The sequence below is a fragment of the Homo sapiens genome, chromosome 6, assembly GCF_000001405.40.
Source record: "Homo sapiens chromosome 6, GRCh38.p14 Primary Assembly".
Classification (NCBI taxonomy): Eukaryota; Metazoa; Chordata; class Mammalia; order Primates; family Hominidae; genus Homo; species Homo sapiens.
The window spans coordinates 53,485,198-53,506,725 of record NC_000006.12 but is presented as its reverse complement, the minus strand read 5'-3'; the positions used below and the strand labels follow the sequence as shown (position 1 = coordinate 53,506,725).

At 39.5% G+C, this 21,528-nt stretch overlaps 1 protein-coding gene and 1 long non-coding RNA gene across 5 annotated transcripts in view; one reads left to right on the top strand and one right to left on the bottom strand.

Moving 5' to 3' along the window:
* Window positions 1-9,385, top strand: part of GCLC (glutamate-cysteine ligase catalytic subunit) — a 47,761-nt gene extending 38,376 nt beyond the window's left edge. For both annotated transcript variants that reach the window (NM_001197115.2, NM_001498.4), the window contains 6 exons: window positions 831-923; window positions 1,230-1,334; window positions 6,213-6,294; window positions 6,376-6,479; window positions 6,561-6,681; window positions 7,759-9,385. In NM_001197115.2, coding sequence (NP_001184044.1) covers window positions 831-923; window positions 1,230-1,334; window positions 6,213-6,294; window positions 6,376-6,479; window positions 6,561-6,681; window positions 7,759-7,970 — 717 coding nt within the window. In that variant the 3' untranslated portion in view covers window positions 7,971-9,385. The remainder of the gene's footprint in view (window positions 1-830; window positions 924-1,229; window positions 1,335-6,212; window positions 6,295-6,375; window positions 6,480-6,560; window positions 6,682-7,758) is intronic.
* GCLC-AS1 (GCLC antisense RNA 1) overlaps window positions 1-21,528 on the bottom strand; it is a 75,418-nt gene that overhangs the window by 186 nt on the left and 53,704 nt on the right. Inside the window, exons 1-2 of one of the 3 annotated variants that reach the window (NR_183319.1) lie at window positions 13,090-13,216; window positions 292-572 (exon numbers count right to left, since the gene is read on the bottom strand). This is a non-coding gene — a long non-coding RNA (GCLC antisense RNA 1). Of the gene's footprint in view, window positions 1-291; window positions 573-12,038; window positions 12,122-13,089; window positions 13,217-21,528 lie in introns of those variants that run through there. The other 2 variants (NR_183320.1, NR_183318.1) reach the window with 2 other exon arrangements.

Sequence of the window (21,528 nt, the reverse complement as noted above, 5' to 3'; positions counted from 1 at the left end):
AAATCGGTTTCAAGTACTCTTATTTTACGATTCTTACTGTTTATCTCACTGATTCTAATTTTTTTTTTTATTGTTCAGTATTTTCTTATTTGCCTAGTGGTGAAAAATTCAAACATACACTGCACAAAAAATAACCTGATCAGTTATTTCAGTGCTTCAGACATATCACCTTTTTTTTTTGTAGATAGACTTCTCATAGATTTATTTCTGTGTCATGTTATATGTAGACATTGACATATATACCTTTTGAAATACCATCTATATCCCCTTTCTTTCCCCCACCAAACTCACAAAAGGAGATATAAATCCTTCCAGTCTTGCCATCGGGTCCCAAGATGGTCAGGACGGAGAAAGAACTCTCTCTCAGTGTATTGAGAAACAGCTACCCTTCTTAGGCTCTTGGGTCATCGAAGCAGCAGCATTCCCAGGAGAGGAGGAAGAAAGGAAACAACTGTCATGTGACAGGGTTCTCAGATGAAAGTGTCCAGTGTCACCTGGAAAGGCAGGCTGGCTCCTAAAATTCTCAGGGATGAAGGTGGGGGCCCCGTGGCTCTTCAGATGCTGCTCTGTAGCTGGGAGATAGGGAGTAGGAGCTGGGTGAGATTAAGCTTGCAGTGATAGGGCCTCATAGCTTTTGTTAAACACTTGGCTGTTTTGTTTTCCTAAAAGAGCACACTCGAAGAAAATCTTCAATTGTACCTTTTTGTCTTTGTCAATTGAAATTTGGTATGGACAGTGAGCAGTCTTCTTCCTTAATTAAATACCAGATCATCTTAATATTTTCCTGGATGTGTGAAAAGTTGGTTTTCTTCTCTGCTTTTGTATCACAGAATATTCAGTCCACAAATTGGCAGACAATGAGATTTAAGCCCCCTCCTCCAAACTCAGACATTGGATGGAGAGTAGAATTTCGACCCATGGAGGTAAGACACATGCATCAGCAAGAACTGACTCAAAAGTACTCTTTCGCCAGCTGTTCATCACCCTTCTGATGCTGCTATGAGAAGGCTCTTATATATAAAATAAAAATTAAGTATGTGCATGGTAGCAAGTCAGTCCAAGTTAAGGAGGGTTGATTTCTGAGAATAGATGTGGGCAAAGGGCTTCCAGACCCAGATGGGGAATTAGGAGATGGCTTGGGAATGACATGATCTGAGGAAGGGCCTGGGTCAGGGAAGAGCATGTTTGTGTAGTTGGTTCATAACTTCTCTGGGCTTCTGCTTGTCTAGGTGCAATTAACAGACTTTGAGAACTCTGCCTATGTGGTGTTTGTGGTACTGCTCACCAGAGTGATCCTTTCCTACAAATTGGATTTTCTCATTCCACTGTCAAAGGTAAGGATATGTTTCTTTATGGTGATGGGTATAGATCTATCTGTAGATATATTTATTTATATATGCTATTTATTTCCCACCTAATTTCATTTGAAATTGTTTACCCTTTGCAATAAAATGTTTCTCCATCAGCCCTATTCTTTATTTTCTTTTAAACCTAAGCTTAATTTCTAGACGCTTTCCATTCAAGATGATTGATGGCTAGAAGTAGTCCTACACATTGATTTCATCCACCACAAAATCCCAGGTTGATTACAATGTTAAATTAGGATGGGGAGGGAAAGTGTAACTGCTGGAATGCCGGTAAAAGTCTCCTCAGTAGAACTGAACTTGAGATATTTCTGAAGAATTCGGATGGGATTGAACTCTCAGAAAAACAAATTGGAGTTAATCTGCCCCCCAAAAGACCAAAAAACAAGCTTTCTGGGAGGAGTTTGCCAGCAAAACAACTCCAGGTGATGAGGGAGCAGAGCTGTGGGTTGTGGAGCAGTAGCTGAGGAGGTGAACGCCTTTGGTTTCTGGGCCAGGGTTCCTCTTGGCAGAGAGTGGCTGGGAAAAACTGCTAAATAGAGAGGGCCCTGCCGCAGGGGTTCCTGGTTGAGGGTTTCGGGGCCAGAGAATGGAGAAGTAGGGTAGCCCTGTCACAGCAAACATGGAAGCAAGAATGAAACTGCTTAGCTCCAGCATCTGCCCCTGGGGCATCTCCTTCCTCCATGAGGGGTTTGCCAGACTGTGCTCATCCCCACACCCCCTGAAGGAAATCTGGCTGTCAGCCCATCCCTGCCTGCTCCTCACACCCAGACCAAAGGTCACCCACAGAACTCTGTGGGCCCACATTGCCCTCATGCCTACCTACTGGGGAGACCAAATCCATCTAAGAGAGATTCCATGTAAGCTACCAGTCTAAGCCTTTGCTTATAAATAAGAATAGATGCTTGGAAGGCAACAGAAAATTGAGAACAATTAACAGCCTTAAAGAGAAGGGCCTACTGGTCTTGCAAGGGCATACTCTGTAAAGTCAAACTTAGTTACTTCAAGGAAGTAAGCTGGGCCCAGCGCAAATCTATAATCTCTGCTCCTCAGGAGGCTGAGGCAGGAGGATTGCTTGAATCCAGGAATTCTAGTGCAGCCCCGACAACATTGCCAGATCCCATCTCTTGAAAAAAAAAAGCAACTGGAAAGAATTACTATTTTTTAAAAAATACTTTTAAACCTTTTTTAGAGACAGGGTCTCACTATGTTGCTCAGGCTGGTCTCGAACTCCTGGGCTGAAATGATCGTCCTCCTGCTGCCTCAGCCTTCCAGGTAGCTGGAATTACAGACACAAACCACCATGCTCAGCTTTGGAAAGAGTTCTTAAAGGAATTCTAATTAGTGGCCTCAGACAAATTCTAGAGAGGTTCAGTCACATCCATAAAACAAGTATTATAGATTGTGCTTATTTAATGGTGAGTATTCTCACCAGTAGAGCAGATGTTGAATATCCAAGGTAGTGATTTAAAAGACCAAATGAAGATTAATCCCAGCAGGATGGTGAAGAAATGGAAATTATGGAAATCCTGAAGCATGGAAAGCTCTGGAAAATTCAATGTTTGTGTAATAATTTAGAAGAGGAGAATAGTTTATATAGGAAAGATATACAATAATCAAAGAAATAATAGAATTTTTCCTTAATAAGTCTTCCTTAAGGATGAGACAAATATTTAACTCAAATGTAGGCATTTATTAATCTCAAAGAGAAAATTAACTGTCCGGACAGGAGAAAAAATTAGGAGACATGAAAAGGGGGGAAAATCAACTGATATTACTTTTCATTTGCAACATTAAATGCTAGATGGAAAGAAGTTTTCAGAATCTCGAGAGGTAAAGAATTAACAACCACAGAATTATCTTCTCAGCCAAATTATTCTTTAAATTTCAGGTGATTCTAACAAAACTGAATGGATCAAGTTAGGGCTAAAAGTATGCCAGAAGTCTTATCTAGTGTCTTGGTTTGTTTGGGCTGCTGTAACAAAAATACCTTACAGTGGGTGGCTTATAAACAACAGGAATGTATTGCTCACAGTTCTGGAGGCTGGGAAGTTCACGATCAAGTCACCGGCAGTTTCGGTGTGTGGTGAGAGCTTTTGCTCTCTGGTTCATACATGGTGCCTTCTTGCTGTGTTCTTACATGGTGGAAGGAGCTAACTAGCTCTTCAGATGTCTCTTCGTAATACCAGTTATGAGGGTAGGGCCTTCATGACCTCCCAAAGGAGGTCCTCCCAATTGCCTCCCAAAGGCCCTACTTTCTAATACTGTCACAATGGGCATTAGGCGTCAGTGTATGAATTTAAGGGAACACAGACATTCAGACCATAGCACCTTGTAAGGGGATATGGAAGGAGATGAATGGTAGATACTCATTAGTGCTTGACACTTAGAGAGTTATAATTTCAAAACTACCTCTTTAAGGAAAACTATTAATAGTATAGAAACAGGATTTATTACTTTTAAACTTGCTGGCGAAAGGGTGGCAAAATGAACCACAAATACATTTCAGTGCCACAAAATTGGGTGTGGGGCCAGGGGAGTGATGAAACAATAGCCCATAGAACATAAAGTGGTGAAAATAAAATGAAAACAAATTTGAATAGACTAAACTCTATCCTATTAAACAGCTGAAACAGATAATATAAAATAGCAACACAGTTTGCATAAGATGTACGTAGAACAAGGACAGATGCCGACAAGAGCTGCATAGTGACCTTTTGGAATGATAGCAGGAATGGCAAAGCAATATCAGGCAAAATGTGAGGTAGAAATTATTAAATGGGATAGAGAAAGCAGTTTTATATATTCTTCCAAGATGATGTGAAAGCTGTGGTCCTTTTTGTACCATGAAATGTAACATGAAAAGAGTTTAGTGTGATGGGTAATACATGGCTTTGATGTGAGAACTAAATGCATAAATCCCTGGTACTATTTACTAGGCTTTTAACCTGGACAAGTGACTTATTCTCAGTGCCTCAGTTTCCCACATGTATCCCAGAGGGGAATAAGTAGGCTGTTGTAAGCCCGTGTGGGGATTAATGGAGGTAAACCACTTAACAGAGTACCTTGCATGTTACTCAGTAACTGACAGGCCATATAATCAAAGGATGGGAAAGGCCATGGGGGAATTAAAGGCATGGTTAATAAGCTTGGTTGTATGCGTATATTACGTATCTCATACCACATCTTTTTTCAAATGCCATGAGTAAGATTTACAAAAATTAAAGAAAATCTTCACTTCTCAAAAGTAGACATAATACAGCATGCGTTCCCGCTAAAATTCAACGAAAGAGATACTCTGGAGAAATTTAACATTGGAAATTAAAAATGTCTTTCCAAGTAGATTTTAGATTAACCAAAACTAGAATTACAGATTGTGTAGGAAAGTGAAAGACATGCTGGCAGAGCTGATGTCTAAGGAAAAATTATAGCTTTAAATGTCTTAACAAAAAGATTTTAAATCTAAGTCATTGAGTATCTAAAGAGCAAAGTAAAATATACTTTGAAAGGAAGTCATCAAAGCACAAATTATAAGTGGTCGTTATGAACTTTTTTCAAGACTAAGGAAAAAAGAAACAAATATTAATAATGAAAGCAGATGTTCACAGCCATGGTGGAATGTATACTATTTATTTGAGTATGCTCCTAGAGTATCTAGATTCTTCAGAAGGTCCTGTGTGTCTCTTAAAAAATGAAACCATAACAATCGCACTCCCTGCATAATGAATATGGGAGGAGACTTGGTAATCAAGAGAGCTTATGTACCATCTGTCCCATGTCAGCCTGGCCCTCTAACTGGTCACTGTTGTATATATTGAGGTCCCACATAAGATTTCATTATAGAAAATAAGGGATTACTACTAAAACGTTTTTTAAATTCTGCTTTGAGAGTCTTAAAAAGTCATTGGAGATACAGAGAATTCACAAATAAAACAGTTTTCGGTTTCATGAGTGAGTCTACATGTCCGGAGGCACCAGATGGGTAAAACAGCAGTGATCTTCTGCCCTTGGGAGGGCTGTAACCTTATTCCAGATATGACAACCTATGAACTGTCTTTGCCTTTCCTCACTAAAGTGGGGAGGCAAAACCCCAATGGCGAGGCAGCAGGGGAAGAGCACTCAACTTAGAAGAACCGGGTTATAGGCCGGGCGCGGTGGCTCACGCCTGTAATCCCAGCACTTTGGGAGTCTGAAGCGGGCAGATCACTTGAGGTCAGGAGTTCGAAACCAGCCTGGCCAACATGGTGAAACCCCGTCTCTACTAAAAATACAAAAAAATTAGCCGAGTGTGGTGGTGCAGGCCTGTAATCCCAGCTGCTTGGGAGGCTGAGGCACAAAGAATTGCTTGAACCCAGGAGACAGAGGTTGGGGTGAGATGAGATTGCACCACTGCACTCCAACCTGGGCAACAGAGCGAGACTCCATCTCAAAAAAACAGAAGAAGAACTGGGTTCTAGTCCTGCCTTCTGCCTTCGTTACCCTGGGACTCCTGGTGAGACACTGCTATATAAAGGGAACCAGCCACCTGCCCTCCCAACACTGTATATCTGTTGCAAGGCTCAGTCACAGAGGTGCTTTGAAATGCAGACGTTCCACATGAATATAAGTTTTGGGTTTTAAGTTTCTCTTAAAATTCCCTGATTGGTTGAAAAATCACATACCAATCCATGATTGAGTGATACAGTCCTCACATAAATAAAAAGCCTGTTCCTCCCACTGGGAAGCATTTGAGCAGAAAGTAGAATCCCTAAGGGAATGAGTCCTAATTGCAAAGGTGAGGAAGGTGCTGCAACTTGTATGTCTGATCAAGAATATTTTGACTTAGTCGTGATTCTTTTTTTCCCTTAGGTTGATGAGAACATGAAGGTAGCACAGAAAAGAGATGCTGTCTTGCAGGGAATGTTTTATTTCAGGAAAGATATTTGCAAAGGTATTACATTATCTTAGATTTCTAATGTCAGCTTATGCTGCAACAAGCTGCTAAAGCTCCCCTGACCCTCTTCTCCGGCAGGTGGCAATGCAGTGGTGGATGGTTGTGGCAAGGCCCAGAACAGCACGGAGCTCGCTGCAGAGGAGTACACCCTCATGAGCATAGACACCATCATCAATGGGAAGGTAGGAGGGTGGCCCTGTACAGTACCCCTCACTGTGCACATCCCCCGGCAGGGAGTTCATAAAGTGTCCTGCTTCTTGTAGGAAGGTGTGTTTCCTGGACTGATCCCAATTCTGAACTCTTACCTTGAAAACATGGAAGTGGATGTGGACACCAGATGTAGTATTCTGAACTACCTAAAGCTAATTAAGAAGAGAGCATCTGGTATGATATCTATTTTTCTTAATCTCATAATATAGACAGCATGGTATAATCTTAGAATGTTCAATTTCTTAAAGTAGTCTTTTAAAATAATGCTGTATTCATGCACAGTTTCACATTTTTATATTTCTGCAATTGTATTCACCTTATAATCTTTGACACTCATAATTTAGATTAGTAGTGCTTTTTTTCTTATCAGTTCATAAAATAGGGGTGCATCTGAAAATCACTGGCATCTTAGATGATGAAATGGCATCTGGATTGCTTACTTATCATTTACGTCCAACTGTGTTGATCTTACATCATCATGGGCCCTTTTATAGGGCTAAGGAACTCTGTAAGTTAAATAAGCTGAACAGTTCTTTAGCCTGCCTTTGTACATACAGTGAGGCTCCTGAGAATCCCCTTTCTTTGTTAGTTTTGAGGAGGTTACATTTACAATACAGTACAGTAACCAAGTACTGCTAACACAGTACTTGGCACAAGGGAGCTGTCAGCTGTTAATAAAGTGACAGCAATAATGGTAATGGCATCTGTATTTAACTCAAGGCTTCTGTAAACTTTCTGGAGTCACAAAGGATAGCCGTAGAACCCTACCTCACCCCTCAAATGGTATACTGCCAATTTCCCACTTCATTCACTCTACTTACTGTTCTTTATTCTCTCCACCTCTTTGATCAAAGATCGCTCAAGGACCCTACAGTCCTCTGAGGCAGTCTCATGACACTGGCATTTGTAGTCCTAGCCCTCTGGCCAAATGGGAGGGCACATGTTCTTGTACACATGTGCTGGCTCCTGTTCCTTAAGAGCTGGCAGTGTCAGCATATGGGTGGCATCTAACAGGTACCATAGAAACTGGATGTATGTGTTCTCATTGCCTGCCTGCAACCTAGAATTCCTGCCCAGGAGGAGTTCTTCAAACGCTATGAAAGATGTTCCCACCCCCTGCCATGCAGCTACACTAAAAGGACATATTGATTTCTCTCCAGAATTGTGTTTATGCTGACCACTAAATATCAACTTATTAAAAAAAAAACTTACGTGGTTTTAATTTTTTTTTCGCTCCCCCCTCGCCCACAGGAGAACTAATGACAGTTGCCAGATGGATGAGGGAGTTTATCGCAAACCATCCTGACTACAAGCAAGACAGTGTCATAACTGATGAAATGAATTATAGCCTTATTTTGAAGTGTAACCAAATTGCAAATGAATTATGTGAATGCCCAGAGTTACTTGGATCAGCATTTAGGAAAGTAAAATATAGTGGAAGTAAAACTGACTCATCCAACTAGACATTCTACAGAAAGAAAAATGCATTATTGACGAACTGGCTACAGTACCATGCCTCTCAGCCAGCCCGTGTGTATAATATGAAGACCAAATGATAGAACTGTACTGTTTTCTGGGCCAGTGAGCCAGAAATTGATTAAGGCTTTCTTTGGTAGGTAAATCTAGAGTTTATACAGTGTACATGTACATAGTAAAGTATTTTTGATTAACAATGTATTTTAATAACATATCTAAAGTCATCATGAACTGGCTTGTACATTTTTAAATTCTTACTCTGGAGCAACCTACTGTCTAAGCAGTTTTGTAAATGTACTGGTAATTGTACAATACTTGCATTCCAGAGTTAAAATGTTTACTGTAAATTTTTGTTCTTTTAAAGACTACCTGGGACCTGATTTATTGAAATTTTTCTCTTTAAAAACATTTTCTCTCGTTAATTTTCCTTTGTCATTTCCTTTGTTGTCTACATTAAATCACTTGAATCCATTGAAAGTGCTTCAAGGGTAATCTTGGGTTTCTAGCACCTTATCTATGATGTTTCTTTTGCAATTGGAATAATCACTTGGTCACCTTGCCCCAAGCTTTCCCCTCTGAATAAATACCCATTGAACTCTGATGGCTGTTATCAAAGGAACTTTTCTTTGTTTAAATTTGCTGATGCAGGAATTAAGTTTAAACACAACTCTATAGAAAGAAAGGAGATTATTACCCAGAATTCACATGTAGTGATTATTAAGGACAATTTTTTTTTTTAACTAAAAAAGTTGGCGGCAGGGGTGGGGGGTGGCAATCATTTTTCTTCCTATACATACAAAGGATATTGTCAAAAATGGCGTTCTTCTCTTGTGGCCTGTTATTCTGATTGCTGCTGTATACAGTTTTGTCACTCTTTAGTTTTTAGTTAAGCATACTGATAGACTTTCCTCTAAAAGCCATTCACTCCAGATTTTACCTGGGGAATATTCTACATACTGCTTACTTTCTCTATAAAACTCATCAATAAATCATGAAAGGCACTGAGTTTTGTAAATCAGGACCCTAAATGTTTAATTGTAAATAAGTTTCAGATAATTATTATAGCTTTGCGTTGAAGTTTGTTGTTTTTTTTCTCAACTAGTTAAGTCAACTGCTTCTGAAATAACTCTGTATTGTAGATTATGCAGATCTTTACAGGCATAAATATTTAAACTGTAATATGCTAACTTGAAGAGATTGCAATAAAGCTGCTTCAGCTAACCCTGTTTATGTTTAAATACTAGGGTTTGTTCTATATTTTATACATGCATTTTGGATGATTAAAGAATGCCTGGTTTTCGTTTGCAATTTGCTTGTGTAAATCAGGTTGTAAAAAGGCAGATAAATTGAAATGTTTGTGGTATGAGGAAATAAAAGAATGGAATTAGCTTTCATTCAGAAACCTTTGAGTGTGTGTGAGTTCCACAGCTAAACAAATAGTAGAAGAGTTTGGTTTTTGTAATTAACCCAAATACCATGAAATTATTTTTTCATCATTGCGACCTCAGATGTTTCTAGAAAGAAGCATAGTGATGAAGACAAACAGATGCCGTATCTCCCCTAGTAGCTATCAACCCCGGTGGGGAGAAAGAACTTGAAGTGTGACTGAATTGACTGCTGTGCCACTGGAAGATTTTTTTTTTCTTTTTTACTCCCAACTGCTGTTGTGCTGGGTCAGTGGGTACATGGTGAATGAATGTTGAGTAACCTGGGTGCTGTGCACACTGCAGTCTAAGCAGGAGATACTTTTCTAAGCAGGAGATACTTAGACTGTGAGTCAGCAAGTCCTGCAGAGAGCTGTTTTCGACTCCTGTCTTTGGATCAGTATTCACCCACACACACACAGAGTTCGTGAAATAATGTTCATCTGAGAAACACACTTTTCTCAGAGCTCTAATTTCTTTATTTGAATGTTCCTAGGGCAGTGCTTATCAAACTGTAGTCTACATACAAATCTCTTTGGGGTGTCATTCTGGCTTGGTAAGTCTGGGGTGGGGCCCACATTTCTTAACAAGCTCCCAGGTGATGCTGATGCTGTGGATTTGCTGGCCCCATGAATAATAAGGACTTTCTCTACCTGAGTTATGGACACATCAATATCAAGTCTCAAATAACACTTGCTTTTAAGTCTAATGTGATATGTCTACATTTTCTCTTATTAAAGACCAGATAGTGGTCTTCTTTCTCCAGGACAGAGAATGTAAGCCTCACAGCTCTCATGAGCTTTACCATCTGAACACAGCTAAGAATTTGGGATTTTAGGAACAGAACTGTAAATCTTAAAACAAGCAAAAAGTGCTTTCTCCTTGGTAGAAATACCTGTGGCCAAGCCCAGACCTTCAGATCCTAACTTGGGATACAACTGATTGTTACTTAACCTGCTGCTAACCTAAAGACTAGTTTTCTGCTCATCTAGTCCCCTGTGTGAATAAGAGGTTTCCTCCTGGTCCCAGGATGCCTCTGCTGCTCAGCTCATCTCTGAGGCTGTCTGTGAGCCTTCAGTTCAGAAATTGAGGGAAAATCCATTGCCTTGGATGTCTCCTTCCAAATCACCACCCAAAACAAAAATTAGGAGACGTAGAAATCCAGGATGTGTTGTGGGTTAGGCCATATTCTGAGGAGTTGGAAGGTTTCTTGGGGACCTGAAGTCTCGTGAAGAGAAAATGTGGAAATAAGTGTCCTTCAAGCCATTGTAGTGCTTGACATGGGGGAAAGAGGCCAGGGGGAGGGGGACCTGTGGTGCCAGGGCCTTTCAGAGCTTGGCTAGATGAGGGGGTCCTTCTCAGAACTGTAAATAAGCTGCTCAGTTGCATGATTTTCAGAGGCCCTGCTAATGAGCTTTTTGTTTGGGTTAAGCCTCCCCTGCTTTCCCTGAAGATAAGCCACTGAGTTCTATCAGCTGCTGTCTTCTCTCCATTATGCTTTCGTATAAATATTTAACATTTCCTATAAACAATTCTGGAAGTACATGCCAAGTGATACTTATGGAAGTGTAAGAAGATGTTTCAGTTCAGGCTGCTATAACTACCACAGACTGAGTGACTTACACAACTGACATTTGTTACTGTTAGGGAGGCTGGAAGTGCAAGAGCAAGGCACTGGCGGATTCAGCTCCTGGTGAGCGCTCTTCATGGTTTGCAGATGGTTGTCTTGCTGCGTCCCATGTGTTGGAGAGATCATTTCTCTTGTATCTCTCCTTATCTAAGGACACTAATCCCATTCATGAGGGTTCCACCCTATGACCTAATTACCTCCCAATGGCCCCAACTCCAAATACCCTCATACTAGGGGTTAGGCTTCAACACAGGGATCTGGGGGAGACATTCAGTCCATAACAGAAGGGAATGGGAAAGGACTACTGTAAGTGAAGAGGCCTTGGTGGGCAACCTTGGCTGGGAAACATATATTCCTCACTATTGTGCTTTCCTGGTAAGCAGAGGCTGAGATAAGCTAGATAATCCCTAAAGCAAGCCCCTTTTCATTCTCAATATTCTATAAAATGAAACATTACAAATCTAAGTATGGAAGATGCATTAAAGAGAACCGTGAGCTGGGTGCAGCCTGGGCAACATAATGAGACCCCCATGTTTACAAAACAAAATTAGCTGGATGTGGTGGTGTGCACCTGCAGTCCTAGCTACTCAGGAGACTGAGGTGGGAGGATCACTTGAGCCCAGGAAATCGAGGCTGCAGTGAGCTGTGATCATGCCACTGGACTCCAGCCTGTTACCTCTGGATGGAAATGAACAAGTACCAAAGAGACAAACTTCTAGGTTGCTAGACATGTTTTATATCTCAATCTGGGTGACGATTCATGGATATCAAGATGTTTAAAAATGACTGGCTGTACACTTAAGATGAGGGCAGTTTACACATTTTGGGTTTGTTATGCCTCAAACAGAAGCAAAATGTGGGTTAAACTGGTTCAGAAAGGAGGAAGGAGAAAAGAAACTTTTCTGAGCAAAAACTAGTGTATTAGTCCGTTTTCACACTGCTGATAAAGACATACCTGAGACTGGGTAATTTATAAAGAAAAAGGGGTTTAATGGACTCACAGTTCCACGCAGCTGGGGAGACTTCACAATCATGGCAGAAGGCAAAAGGCACGTCATTCATGGCAGCAGGCGAAGAGAATGAGAATCAAGCCAAAGGGGAAACCCCTTATAAAATCATTAGATCTCGTGAGACTTACTAACATGAGAACAGTATGGGGGAAACCGCCCCCCATGATTCAATTATCTCCCACCAGGTCCCACCCACAATACGTGGGAATTATGGGAGCTACAATTCAAGATGAGATTTGGGTGAAGACACAGCCAAACTGTATCATAGCGTGGCGAATGTGTTGAAAAACTGCATTTTTATGCCCTTTTAATACATTACACTTTCATCATGGCAAATGAAAGCAGTTTAAAAGCCAACATCTCAATCAAAAGTGATTCATTCTGAAGTTCCTAGGAAGTTTATCAGCATTGTGTTGGGACAGGATACAAGTACTTCTAGCATAAAAGCAAAAGTATAGAACTGAGTTCCAATCTTAATATTTATACATACTAGCTGGGTGACTTTAGACTTTGTCTATATATCATCTGTGAAATAGACATGAGAACACTTCGCCGATTTGCTATGTGGTGGAAATAAGGCAATGTACATAAAAGCAAAGGACATAAACTGTTCAGGCAAGCCATGTTTGCTCCCTACTCTGCCCCTGGAGAGTGTGACAACACTATTATATTAAAGACGACACAACCTGCATCTACTTTCTACCAGTATATAACACACATTTTCTTAATAGTCTCCTTTGAAATAATTTAGCCTTCCAAGAATGCAATGAAGTCAGCAGAGAAAAACAATCATACTGATGACTTAGGATCTAAAATTTCTAGAAAATGAAACATGAGAAGCTCTTCATATGTTTTTATCACCTCTCAAACAGTCCTGGTGAGTTTCCCAGAACCTTTTTTGGCTTTGTCCAAAATAAAGCCATGTGTTTTGAATACTATTGGTCTTTCTGCAAAGTAGAGACGCTTGGCATATTCAGAAATTTTGGATGCAAGTGACAGAAAACCCCCACACCCACCAGCTTTAGAAAAAAAGAAAACCTACCAGCTAATATCACAGAAACGTCCAAGAGGTGGCACTAGCTTCAGGCACAGGTTATTGGCTCAAATGCTCTCAAGTCCCGTCTCCCGATTCCTGGCTTACACCTTCCACTATAACGGTTTCACTCTCAGGCAGGCTTTCTCCATAGAGCACACTCCCCCAGTGCCCAGCCCTATCCAGCAGCTCCAGCAACGCCAGGCATGCATTACAGTAGCTGGGCAACCCCAGTGGAAAAGAGCCTCTCATTTGCCACAAGTGTATAGGAAAGTCTGGGTCTGTCTGAGTTTGTGCAGAATCATGATGTGATTCTCTAATGAGTCAGGAGACTGGGGTTCTAGTTCTGACTCTACAACTAGTGTTTGTATGATATTAAGCAAGTCATTTCCTTTCTTTGGACCTCAATTGTCTCATCTATAAAACAGAGGAATAAAATCTCAATGCCATCTTGAGTCAGTTTTAGAGCTAACAACATTTCTTAAGTTATCCACACTAAAAACTGTTTCCTCTGGAAGTTTGATAATAGTGCCCTCTAGCGATCTTTTCAGTAGGTGCCTTTTTATTTCATTTGGTGTACAAATATTCCTCAATTCACAGAGACATTCAGAGCGCATTTGCTATAAAACGAAATTCCACATCGAAATATATTTTTCCATTCTCATTTTAAAATAGAAATATGCTTGTGCTCCAAAATAAGTAGCTAAAACTGTGGATTTCACATTTATTACTGTTTTAGCTGCATCTTGGTCGTTCGGTTATATTGTACTTTCATTGTTGTTCTTCGTACGTGTTTTCTACTATCCCTTGTGATTTCTTCTTTGGCCATGGGTTACTTAGTAGAATGTGGCTTCATTTCAAAACCTTTGGGAATTTTCTAGATGTCTTTTTTATTATTGATGTCTAGTATAGTTTCATTTTGATCATAGAATATTCTGTTATTTCAATGTGTTGAATGTTTGACCTTTTAATAGCCCAGGGTACAGTCTTTCTTGATGAATATTCCATGTACACTTCAGAATAATATATAATTGGTGTGTATAGTGTGTAGTTTTCTTTAGTAGTTGAATTTTTGATAATGTTCTTCAAATCATCTGTATCCTTGCTGCTTTTCTTTGCCTACTTTTTTTTCAATTACTGAGAGTGGAATGTTAAAATCCCAAAATTTGATTGTGGATTTGTCTGTTTCTCTATAGTTTTGTCAGTTTTTGCCTCATACACTATGAAGCTCTGTTAGGTATCTTCACACTTAGGAATTGTATGTCTTCTTGATGAATTGATCCTTCTATCATAATAAAGTATCCCTTTTTAATCTCTAGGAATACTCTTGTTTTGAACTTTACTTTGTCTGATATTAATACTCCATGTCAACTTTCTTACAATTAGTGCTTACATAATAAATATTTTCTATCTTTTTACTTGCAAACTAGCTATGATTTTAGAATTAAAGTGTTTCCCTTTAAACAGCTTCTAGTTGGGTCTTTCTTTTTTTATCCTTTTTAATGGAAGTGCTTAGTTCATTAACATTTACTGTAATAATTGATATGGTTGAGTTTAAGTCTACCATCTTGTTAGTTTCCTATTTGTTTCTAATGTTCTCTTTCCTTTAATGCACTTTTCCTGTCATCTTTTGGTATCCTATTTTATGTCCTCTATTAATAATATCTTGTATTTAAAAATGATTTCTCCAAACAACCCCATCAAAAACTGTGCAAAGGATATGAAGAGACACTTCTCAAAAGAAGACATTTATGGGGCCAAAAAACATGGGGAAAAAGCTCATCATTACTGGTCAATACAGAAATGCAAGTCAAAACCAAAATGAGATAGCATCTCACACCAGTTAAAATGGTGATCATTAAAAAGTCAGGAAACAACAGATGCTGGAGAGGATGTGGAGAAATAGGAATGCTTTTACACTGTTGGTGGGAGTGCAAATTAGTTCAACCATTGTGGAACACAGTGTGGTGATTCCTCAAGGATCTAGAACCAGAAATACCATTTGACGCAGTGATCCCATTACTAGATATATACCCAAAGGATCGTAAATCATTCTACTATAAAGACTCATGCACACGTATGTTTATTGCAGCACTATTCACAATAGCAAAGACTTGGAACCAACCCAAATGCCCATCAGTGGTAGACTGGATAAAGAAAATGTGGCACATATACACCATGGAATACTATGCAGCCATAAAAAAGGATGAGTTCATGTCCTTTGCAGGGACATGGATGAAGCTGGAAACCACCATTCTCAGCAAACTAACACAAGAACAGAAAACGAAACACCACATGTTCTCACTCATAAATGGGAGTTGAACAGTGAGAATACATGGACACAGGGAGGGGAACATCACACACTGGGGCCTGTCAGGGGGTGGGTGGGCTAGGGGAGGGATAGCATTAGGAGAAATACCTAATGTAGGTGATGGGTTGATGGGTGCAGCAAACCACCATGGCACGTGTATACCTATGTAACAAACCTGCACGTTCTGCACATGTATTCCAGAACTTAAAGTATAATAAATAAATAAATAAATAAGGTATCTCTTTGCATATTTTTAAATGATTATAATATTCATCTCTAACTTACTACAATTAAGCATAGACTAACACTAAATCAGTTCATATACAAGGAAACACCATAGAGGAGTACACGTTCACCCACCACCTCCCATTCTCTGCGCTACTGTTGTCATATATTTTACTACCACATTTTTTTTTAATTTTATTATTATTATACTTTAAGTTTTAGGGTACATGTGCACAACGTGCAGGTTTGTTACATATGTATACATGTGCCATGTTGGTGTGTTGCACCCATTACCTCGTCATTTAGCATTAGGTATATCTCCTAATGCTATCCCTCCCCCGTCCCCTCACCCCACAACAGGCCCCAGTGTGTGATATTCCCCTTCCTGTGTCCATGTGTTCTCATTGTTCAATTCCCACCTATAAGTGAGAACATGCGGTGTTTGGTTTTTTGTCCTTGGGATAGTTTGCTGAGAATGATGATTTCCAGCTTCATCCATGTCCCTACAAAGGACATGAACTCATCATTTTTTATGGCTGCATAGTATTCCATGGTGTATATGTGCCACATTTTCTTAATCCAGTCTATCATTGTTGGACATTTGGGTTGATTCCAAGTGTTTGCTATTGTGAATAGTGCTGCAATAAACATACATGTGCATGTGTCTTTATAGCAGCACGGTTTATAATCCTTTGGGTGTATACCCAGTAATGGGATGGCTGGGTCAAATGGTATTTCTACTTCTAGATCCCTGAGGAATCGCCACACTGACTTCCACATGGTTGAACTAGTTTACAGTCCCACCAACAGTGTAAAAGTCTTCCTATTTCTCCACATCCTCTCCAGCACCTGTTGTTTCCTGACTTTTTAATGACTGCCATTCTAACTGGTGTGAGATGGTATCTCATTGCGGTTTTGATTTGCATTTCTCTAATGGCCAGTGATGATGAGCATTTTTTCATGTGTTTTTTGGCTGCATAAATGTCTTCTTTTGAGAAGTATCTGTTCATATCCTTCGCCCACTTTTTGATGGGGTTGTTTGTTTTTTTTCTTGTAAATTTGTTTGAGTTCATTGTAGATTCTGGATATTAGCCCTTTGTCAAGTGAGTAGGTTGCAAAAATTTTCTCCCATTCTGTAGGTTGCCTGTTCACTCTGATGGTAGTTTCTTTTGCTGTGCAGAAGCTCTTTAGTTTAATTAGATCCCATTTGTCAATTTTGTCTTTTGTTGCCATTACTTTTGGTGTTTTGGTCATGAAGTCCTTGCCCATGCCTATGTCCTGAATGGTATTGCCTAGGTTTTCTTCTAGGGTTTTTATGGTTTTAGGTCTAACATGTAAGTCTTTAATCCATCTTGAATTAATTTTTGTATAAGGTGTAAGGAAGGGATCCAGTTTCAGCTTTCTACATGTGGCTAGCCAGTTTTCCCAGCACCATTTATTAAATAGGGAATTCTTTCCCCATTTCTTGTTGTTGTCACGTTTGTCAAAGATCAGATAGTTGTAGATATGTGGCATTATTTCTGAGGGCTCTGTTCTGTTCCATTGGTCTATATCTCTGTTTTGGTACCCGTACCATGCTGTTTTGGTTACTGTAGCCTTGTAGTATAGTTTGAAGTCAGGTAGCATGATGCCTCCAGCTTTGTTCTTTTGGCTTAGGATTGACTTAGAAATGTGGGCTCTTTTTTGGTTCCATATGAACTTTAAAGTAGTTTTTTCTAATTCCGTGAAGAAAGTCATTGGTAGCTTGATGGGGATGGCATTGAAACTGTAAATTACCTTGGGCAGTATGGCCATTTTCACGATATTGATTCTTCCTACCCATGAGCATGGAATGTTCTTCCATTTGTTTGTATCCTCTTTTATTTCATTGAGCAGTGGTTTGTAGTTCTCCTTGAAGAGGTCCTTCACATCCCTTGTAAGTTGGATTCCTAGGTATTTTATTCTCTTTGAAGCAATTGTGAATGGGAATTCACTCATGATTTGGCTGTTTGTCTGTTATTGGTGTATAAGAATGCTTGTGATTCTTGCACATTGATTTTGTATCCTGAGACTTTGCTGAAGTTGCTTATCAACTTAAGGAGATTTTGGGCTGAAACGATGGGGTTTTCTAGATATACAATCATGTCATCCGCAAACAAGGACAATTTGACTTCCTCTTTTCCTAATTGAATGCCCTTTATTTCCTTCTCCTGCCTGATTACCCCTGCCAGAGCTTCCAACACTATGTTGCATAGGAGTGGTGAGAGAGGGCATCCCTGTCTTGTGCCAGTTTTCAAAGGGAATGCTTCCAGTTTTTGTCCATTCACTATGATATTGGCTGTGGGTTTGTCATAGGTAGCTCTTATTATTTTGAGATACGTCCCATCAATACCTGATTTATTGAGAGTTTTTAGCATGAAGCGTTGTTGAATTTTGTCAAAGGCCTTTTCTGCATCTATTGAGATAATCATGTGGTTTTTGTCTTTGGTTCTGTTTATATGCTGGATTACATTTATTGATTTGCATATATTGAACCAGCCTTGCATCCCAGGGATGAAGCCCACTTGATCATGCTGGATAAGCTTTTTGATGTGCTGCTGGATTCGGTTTGCCAGTATTTTATTGAGGATTTTTGCATCAATGTTCATCAAGGATATTGATCTAAAATTCTCTTTGTTTGTTGTGTCTCTGCCAGCCTTTGGTATCAGGATGATGCTGGCCTCATAAAATGAGTTAGGGAGGATTCCCTCTTTTTCTATTGATTGGAATAGTTTCAGAAGGAATGGTACCAGTTCCTCCTTGTACCTCTGGTAGAATTTGGCTGTGAATCCATCTGGTCCTGGACTTTTTTTGGTTGGTAAGCTATTAATTATTGCCTCAATTTCAGAGCCTGTTATTGGTCTATTCAGAGATTCAACTTCTTCCTGGTTTAGTCTTGGGAGGGTGTATGTGTCAAGGAATTTATCCATTTCTTCTAGATTTTCTAGTTTATTTGCATAGAGGTGTTTATAGTATCCTCTGATGGTAGTTTGTATTTCTGTGGGATCGGTGGTCATAGCCCCTTTGTCATTTTTTATTGCGTCTATTTGATTCTTCTCTCTTTTCTTCTTTATTAGTTTTGCTAGCGGTCTATCAATTTTGTTGATCTTTTCAAAAAAACCAGCTCCTGGATTCACTGATTTTTTGAAGGGTTTTTTATGTCTCTATTTACTTCAGTTCTGCTCTGATCTTAGTTATTTCTTGCCTTCTGCTAGCTTTTGAATGTGTTTGCTTTTGCTTCTCTAGTTCTTTTAATTGTGATGTTAGGGTGTGAATTTTAGATCTTTCCTGCTTTCTTTTGTGGGCATTTAGTGCTATAAATTTCCCTCTACACACTGCTTGGAATGTGTCCCAGAGATTCTGGTATGTTGTGTCTTTGTTCTCATTGGTTTCAAAGAACATCTTTATTTCTGCCTTCATTTCGTTATGTACCCAGTAGTCATTCAGGAGCAGGTTGTTCAGTTTCCATGTAGTTGAGCGGTTTTGAGTGAGTTTCTGAATCCTGAGTTCTAGTTTGATTGCACTGTGGTCTGAGAGACAGTTTGTTATAATTTCTGTTCTTTTACATTTGCTGAGGAGAGCTTTACTTCCAACTATGTACCACGTATGTTATGCTGCTCACAATCCAGTGTTGATGTGTACTTTAAAAGTAAAATATGTCAAGGCTTTATATCTAAAATATGGGAAGAACTCTCAAAACTCAACAGAGAAAAGCAAACAATCTAATCATAAAACGGGCAAAAGTCATAAAAGAACTATTTCACCAAAGAGGTGAGGCAGATGGCAAATAAGCACGTGAAAAGATGTTTGACATCATTAGCCACTAGGGAAATGCAAATTAAAACCACAATGAGTATTACTACTTGCCTATTTAAAGAGTTAAAATAAAAAACTAGTGATAATACCAAATGCTGGGAAGGACACAGGACACCTGATTACTCGTGTGTTGCTGGTGGGGATATAAAATAGTACAGCCACTCTAAGAAACAGTTAGGCAATTTCTTATAAAACTAAATGTGTGATTACCATTCGACCCAGCAGTTGCACTCTTAGGCATTTATCCCAGAGAAATGAAAGCTTATATTTACACAAAAGCTGTATACAAATGTTCACAACAGCTTTATTCCTACTAGCCCAACACAGGAAACAACCCAGATGTCCTTCAAGAAGTGAATGGCTGAGCAAATTGCAGTACATCTATCTCATCTAATACTACTCACCTATCTCATCGAATACTACTCAGCAACAAAAGGGAATAAACTAGTGATATCGGCAGCAATCTGGATGAGTCTCCAGTGAATTATAATCAAGAAAAAAAAAAGCCCAATACAAATTGGTTGCTAGAGTTTCAGGATGGGGCAGGGGGATACAGGAGAGAGGTTGGTGTGGTTATAAAAGGCCAGTTCAAGGGATCCTCATGAAAGATAGAACTGTTTGGTGTCTTGACTGTCAAGTGGAAACATGAACCTACAATGGTGATAAAATTGTATAGAACTAAATACACACACACACACACAAATGCATACAAGTAAAACAGGAGAAACTGAATAAGATGGGTCGATCTTGTCAATGCCAATATCTTGGTTGTGATACTGTACTACAGTTCTTCAAACTGTTTCCACTGGAAAAAAATTGGGTGAAGAGTACATGGGATCATTCTGTATTATTTCTTATAACTGTATATAAACCTAGAATTACCTCAAAATTAAAAGTTTAATTTTAAAAAGGTAATTATACAGGCACGAGAACGTATAAAGAGGTACAAATGTTCCCACCATTAAAGAGTTTATCATGGAGGCAGGGTTAGGAAGCCAGTGGTTTTAGAGATGGCAAAGTTTTGTTGATCACATTCAGGAGACGGTGTAATTGTACCAGATGAAGTCTGTACTCATATAATCATACCAGTGGACATTTATTGCACAAATCTAAATGCTTTCCATGTGGCATCTCAGTCTTTACTAGAACCCCTGCAGTAGGATATTATGATTGCCATTTTGCCAGTAATGAAACTAAAGCATAATCAGGTTAAGCAACTTGCCCATTTTTTTTTTCAATCCAAGACAATCCTGATTTGGCTAATCTTGACTGATATTTTGGTGCTTATATATAAAGAGCTCTGGATTATTTGTCAAAAGTCTTGAGGGGGTGGGCACAGTGGCTCATGCCTGTAATCCCAGCACCTTAGGAGACCAAGGCGGGAGGATCACTTGAAGCCAGAAGTTTCAGACCAGCTTGGGCAATATAGTGAGATTCCTGTCTCTGCCCAAAAAAATAAAAATTAGCTGGGCACAGTGGTGTGTGAGTGTAGTCCCAGCTACTCAGGAGGCTGAGGCGGAAGGATTGTTTGAACCCAGGGCTTCAAGGTTACAGTGAGCTACAAATGTGCCATCGCACTCCAGCCCGGGCAATAGAGTTAGATCCTGTCTCAAAAAAAAAAAAAAAAGAAAAGAAAAGAAAACAAAAGTCTTGGGTTCTAGTCCCACTTTACTGCTGATTAACATTTTAACTTGAAGAGTGATTCAATCACTCGGTTGCCCCACTTGAAAAAAAAAAAAAGCTGGAGTACATATCTAGAATCCTTACCACACGAACATTCTATATTTTTGGTTCTTTGACTCTAAAATGGTCAGCTTAAAAGAGTGTTTTCCATCCCTCTTTTGGCTGTTAGAGCCATCCCTGGTGACTTTACCCCTTTCCCCTGAACCTTTCATATGTTTATTGAGCATCCACTCCAGTTGTGCACTGGTGTTTGTTTTCACGGGGTTACTGGTACCCTCCACCCTCACCCCTCTTTCTCCCTGCAGAAAGCTTTTCTAATACTTTCAGCCGTGGTCAATTTCAGGTGATAGCAATGGTAATCATTTATTGAGTACTTACCAAATGCTAGAGACTGA